Genomic DNA, 6,603 nt, shown 5'->3' with positions numbered 1-6,603 from the left:
ATTTTGAATGTGTCAAGGTATTAAACCCTGCAACTGTATGTCATAGACTGCATTGTTTATTTCAGATTTCACTATAATGAGGATAATGATGTGAAAACATTAAAGAAATGTACTTTGAAATAAAAAATATATACAGTAGCTTTATATTTACCTGTGAAAACTCATTTCTAATACCTTATTTCAGTAACGCTGTGAAATAGAAAAGGCAACAGCTCATGAGGCACATTTTCCATCATCTTGAAACACCCTTTACCCTACTAATTTATTTTCTAGCTCTGCATGCATTTTAAATAACTACTTTGCTAAAACGTGAAAGATGTTAAAAAGTAAAATGAACATATCATGCACTAAAGAAGAATGTGGAGGGAAATTGAGGTCATTTAAATTGTTGGTCATTAAATTATTGGCTTATAACTCATAATGGTGATCATGACAATGAAAAGATGGCAAGGAAACTGGCAGGCAATCTTGGACAAGGTGATTGTATAGGAATGACGTCATTTCCTTGATTGGGCAACATAAACCCTGAGGAAGCCCTTGTCATTTCTGTAAGTTATATTTTCCAATGTCAAGTCAAAACACAAACCAATCATAAATTATCATAACAAGTGGTCGGTAAGAGCAAATTAAAATAATAAGACTTTAATTGCTCAAAGATTTTTTTCTAAATTAATCCTTTTGATATCAAAGTACACAAGTTACATTTTCAGAGAATTTGAATTGCCTAAATTCAGCTGTTCAGATGAAATTTAACTTATCATCTCGATTCCAAATTATAGAGGAATTTTTACTTATTCCTTTCAAAGTCTACTATTTTTACTTCCGCCCCAGAAGACTTACATGGTTTAATATTTATCACAGTGGTGTTTGAGCTTAAGAATGCTCTATGCTGTAACTCTGGAAAATAAATAATAAAAACGATTGTAGGACACACTGCAAACAAGGATATTTTATTAACTTGGATTAAACCAGTTTCTCACTGGAGTTCAAGCCACAGTATCAAATAACTACCCCATAATATCTACCTGAATACAATAATTCCAATAAATGTCATTTTCCAGGCCACTTAAAATTGAGACACAGTATATTAAGCAGTTTTTGTAAGGTGTTAGAATAAAACTTCAATAATATCAGAAACAGAAATGTAGAGGATGCATGAGGAACTTACTGGATTTTATGACTTCATCATTATGTTATTTATTACTTCTGATAAATAGGCTTGCTTCATCTGAATGCAAAGTAATATATAACCTGGCATTTTTAAAGTTTTTTTTGTTTTTGGCACGAGAGTATCACAGGAAATTCAAAGGTAAATTTAACACTTAATCACAGTAATTATATTATTAACTAAAATTTTTGATGCATCATGTTTTGATACAGTATTTCATACTTATTTGTTTTTCATTTATATGTGTGTTATAGAATGCAATTATGAATCTCTTGGAAAATAAATGGAAGAAATTAATCCAATAGCATTGTTTACACAACTTTTTGCTGCTATAATCTGGAATAAATATTAGGCAATTGTTATCATCACTGCCTTCCACAAGTTTAGAATTCTAAACATATCATCTTTCTGTCCATTATTAAAGAATAGTTACTATATTTCATTAAATTTTCCTTTATATGTAATGTACGTTTTTGTATATGGGTAACAATTTCTTAATTTTAAATATAATATAGGTTCAAATTTCAAAGAGTTGTGATTGCTGAAATGAATCTGAAAACATTTTTAAAAATTATTTCTATGTATATCATGGATTTGGAGCCTGCTGTCCTATTTTCAGCCACTTACACTTAGCCAAGCTCTCTGTATTTATATTCTTTAATCTTTTGTAGTGAATTTGTACCTCTATTCCTTAATCATATTTAGAATCTTTTCATAATTCCCTCAAATTTGTCTGTTCCTGAATCTGCATTTGCAATCAACATCAAAATGAAGTATAACAAATTTCTTATATCACAAACCCAGGACAAGTTTTTCATTTATTGGATTGGTTTTAATCATTGCCTTTGAAAAATCTCTCCAAAATACTGTCCACTCTGGTTACTTAGGTTTCTTTCGATATTTTTACTTATCAGGTATTTCCATTTACTGCCTATCTTTGCTTCCATAAAGATGGTTTTTATTTCAGCCTTAAGACTAATCATTTTAACTGCACTTTATATATTTATACTGTTATCTACTTATTTCTTAGTTTAGTAGTATTGCGTATTTTTGCTCTGATTATTTCTCCTACTCTCTCCTTCTAAAGTGGAAGACAACTTTTAAAATCCTATACAAATTACTTTTTTAATCAGTTGAAAAATATTTTTTTCTCAGCATTATTGATATCGCATGCTATTTTTTTTCTAGGATTCTCTAAGTTACATTGCCAAGAAACATGTTTCAAACTTGTCCAGGCATGGCTGTGAGTGAAGGAATTCCTGCATGCAAGTCAAAATACTGGCTGACTTTTAGATGACTGTACTGTTTTCCTGATCTTACTGTTTAATTCGAATCAGATAAGAGAAAAATAAAGACCCTGACTATCTCCATCTCTATCATTTAGGTTTAACTGCGTAAGAAACAACTGCAAAACCAGTGGCTAAAAACAATAAAGAATTATTAGGTAATGATGTGGGTTGGAAATTTTCCTGGGATCTGCTGGACCTTGCTTTGCTGCTGTTGCCTTGACTCACTTGTGCAGCGCCACTCTGCTTGGAACTTCCCTGATAAGCTAGCAGATGGCTTGGGCATTCAGGAAACTGAGCCATGAGTATCCAAAAGCAATGAGAAAGGACATCTACCAATGAGCAATCACTGCCCAAGCCTCTTCCTGTCACATTTAGAAATCTCTTATTATATAAGCCAAAACAAGTTACATGGTCAAGATTTGAGATGGGGAGCTCAACTCCACTTCTTGCTGGGAAGAGTGGAAAAAGTCATGTTACAGAGAGCTAAATCCTAATGAATAGTAAATAATAATTTATTAAATTGTCTTTGCCTCTTTTTTTTACCTTCTCTTTATTAGTCACCATCAATTTAGAGGGTGGTAGCTTTCTTTAGTAATTCAGTATGCAAAAATTGTTTGAAATTATAGCCCTGGCAATGTTATAAATATATTTAATTCATGTTATCCCTATAGGATAATATATTTAATCATGTTATCCCTATAGGATTACCAAGTCAGAACACTGCTTTCTATTTTCATCACAAAAAGAATAAAATGCATAATAATTTTTATCATTGAAATGTTTTTATTGACACATATCAGTTTTGTGAATGGGAATTTTATGTAACTCAAAACTGCATACTAGAAAATTTCCTACGTACATTTTAAAAAGATATTGTGACTGCCTTTAAAATTATTTTAATTGATTCAATTTAGAAGACATTTATTGATTATCTGCTCTGTTCAAGCAATTGTTCAGGCCATGGGGATGAATATGGGAGGAACATACCTGTGTATGTGGAGGTTGTTTTTTGGTAGGAGATTCAATCAGTAACAAATATTGAAAGAAACAGCATCAGGTTCTTTCTAATTATCATGCTATCACAATTAGAAAGCTTACAAAGTGTCATTAGCCCTTACAATATGTCTGATTTTTTTAGCCCCAAACACAACCGTGTAAAGTCAATTAAGTTATTAGATAAGTGATTTATGATACGAACCCCTTCCATCCACAGGAAACATGTTGAAGTGAATTGAAAAAAGAAACTACTGTTTATATGCTAAATGTTCAAAAATGTATGTTTAGTAATCCATCTCAGTGATTTAATAACTGGTTTATATTTGGAAATGATTGATCTAGTATCTTTATGTTATAATTGTACATGAGGCATACCTTCGTGCATAATTGAACAACAATAAAGCAAAGAGTTTTATTTCTTTTATCTTTCTAAAATTCAAAATTTGGCAATATGTGAATGAGAAGATTCAACAAATATATGCCTATCTTTTGTTGAATATATACACTTTTCATATATATCATGTTGAATATAATATATATGATAGATTTATGATAAATTAAAGGTAATAATACCTTCCGTGTTGAAAACTGTGATTTTTTTATTGACCCCATTTGTAACTGATGTAGGAAAAGTTGTCCATATATTATTTTCCTCTGAATGTTCATATATAATTACTTTTTGATTTAAGGTGAACATGAAATAACAGCTAACTTTATGAAACTGGTTGCTCTAAATTAATTTACTTTATTTTTAAGAAAAAGTCAAATGTAGCATAAAATACATATATAAATATGTGTTAGAGAAATAGTAAGCAGAGTACGTAAAGGATAGAATATACTTAGCATGAGTGCAATTCTCTTGCTATTTTTTATAAGCACATGTGTGGGGAAAAGAAAGAGAGATCAGATTGTTACTGTGTCTGTGTAGAAAGAAGTAGACATAGGAGACTCCATTTTCCTCTGTACTAAGAAAAATTCTTCTGCCTTGAGATGCTGTTAATCTGTAACCTTACCCCCAACCCTGCGCTCCCTGAAACATGTGCTGTGTCAACTCTGGGTTAAATGGATTAAGGGCTGTGCAAGATGTGCTTTGTTAAACAAATGCTTGAAGGCAGCATGCTCGTTAAGAGTCACCACCACTCCCTAGTCTCAAACCACTCCCTAATCTCAAGTACCCAGAGACACAAAACACTGCGGAAGCCCGCAGGGACCTCTGCCTAGGAAAGCCAGGTATTGTCCAAGGTTTCTCCCCATGTGATAGTCTGAAATATGGCCTCATGGGAAGGGAAAGACCTGACCGTCCCCCAGCCCGACACCCGTAAAGGGTCTGTGCTGAGGAGGATTAGTAAAGGAGGAAGGAACGCCTTTTTGCAGTTGAGACAAGAGGAAGGCATCTGTCTCCTGCTCGTCCCTGGGCAATGGAATGTCTCGGTGTAAAACCCGATTGTATATTCCATCTACTGAGACAGGGGAAAACCGCCTTAGGGCTAGAGGTGGGACATGTGGGCAGCAATACTGCTGTTTAAGGCATTGAGATGTTTATGTTATACATATCTAAAGCACAGCACTTAATTCTTTACCTTGTTTATGATGCAGAGACCTTTGTTCACGTGTTTACCTGCTGACCTTCTCTCCACTATTATCCTATGACCTTGCCACATGCCCCTCTCTGAGAAACACCCAATAATGATCAATAAATACTAAGGGAACTCAGAGGCCGGCAGGATCCTCCGTATGCTGAACGCCGGTCCCCCGGGCCCCCTTTTTTCTTTCTCTATACTTTGTCTCTGTGTCTCTTTCTTTTGCAAGTCTCTCGTTCCACCTAAGGAGAAAAACCCACAGGTGTGGAGGTGCAACCCACCCCTTCACACATGCCATCTTTCTTAGAGACCAAACACAAATGAAGCTAGAATTTGTGTTCTTAACTCTTTGAATATGCTAGTTTTATCTCCTTTTTCCCTTCTTACAAAACATGTGCAACTACTATGAAAAGAAATGATTATCTAGATCAAGAAAGGTAGCTCATGGTCTTTTCAGAAGCCAATGGATATAATTTTTAACTCCTTACATTAGAGTTTATGTTAAAGTAGATAATTTTTCTTAATATTTTATACAAGATGAAAATTCTATATCTCAGAGGGAACATAATTTTCTAAACTTATGGATGTAACTAAAAAGAAAATAATAAAATACCATTATACAAGAAATAAAAATTGGAAATTATTCAAATAAACAAAAATAGCGATAGCTTTCAATATGCCAATATGTGGGAGTTTTCAGATTAATAATTTCTTATTGTAATGGAACATTTCAGGCGAGCCTAGGTTATCATTATCTCTGTTGTCAACGTTTTTTTTTCCTGCAAGTGCATGTCATTTTCCTTGACAATACAAATAAAATTCTAACATGAATATCTAGAATTCACATGCTTTGAAATAAATTATGGTGTGATTTGTAATAACTTTTAATCATAATATAAATTTTCCCTGGGTTTTAAGTTATAACTCAAAATTTATTTCAAAAGTTCTGTAATCAGACATGATTAAAACAGCTGTTTAGAATTTCATGTACTTTTAACTTTCACAGTTGTGATATTATTCCTATATGTCTGGTTAATTGAGATCATTGACAATTATGATATAAGAAAATCCAGAGCAGGGAAAAAAGAGCAATATTTTATGTCTTGGAAGGTACTGTCAAATATTTAAATTATAAACTGAATGTGCACTTAAGGCAAGGTGTGGGGTAAGAACATGGGATGGGGAAGCGTTGCACAGAAGCAGATAGTCTAGAGAAAATCAAACATCTAAATTTGTTCACCTGAAATAATAATGTGGTTTTGATTTTTTTTTTTTTTTAGACAGAGTCTCATTCTGTCGCCCAGGCTGGAGTGCAGTGGTGTGATCTCGGCTCACTGCAACCTCTGCCTCCTGAGTTCAAGTGATTCTCCTGCCTCAGCCTCCCAAGTAACTGGGATTAAAGGTGCCTGCCACTCCCGGCTAATTTTGTGTATTTTTAGTAGAGGCAGGGGTTTCACCATATTGGCCAGGCTGATCTCGAATGCCTGACCTCGTAATCCACCCACCTCGGCCTCCCAAAGTGCTGGGATTACAGGCATGAGCCACTGTGCCTGGGCTTGAAATTTGTTTT

General features: G+C 33.7%; 1 annotated feature.

The window, feature by feature from the left end:
* Window positions 4,283-5,103: an enhancer, noted in NCBI's record as "OCT4-NANOG-H3K27ac hESC enhancer chr2:193406886-193407706 (GRCh37/hg19 assembly coordinates)". NCBI's record gives its function as "activates a minimal SCP1, AML or CMV promoter by ChIP-STARR-seq in naive H9 embryonic stem cells {active_cell/tissue: H9 hESC(naive)}" and the evidence as "EXISTENCE:reporter gene assay evidence [ECO:0000049][PMID:30033119]".

Source organism: Homo sapiens, chromosome 2 (assembly GCF_000001405.40).
Source record: "Homo sapiens chromosome 2, GRCh38.p14 Primary Assembly".
Taxonomy (NCBI): domain Eukaryota; kingdom Metazoa; phylum Chordata; class Mammalia; order Primates; family Hominidae; genus Homo; species Homo sapiens.
This window is presented reverse-complemented; position numbering and strand designations above follow the sequence as displayed.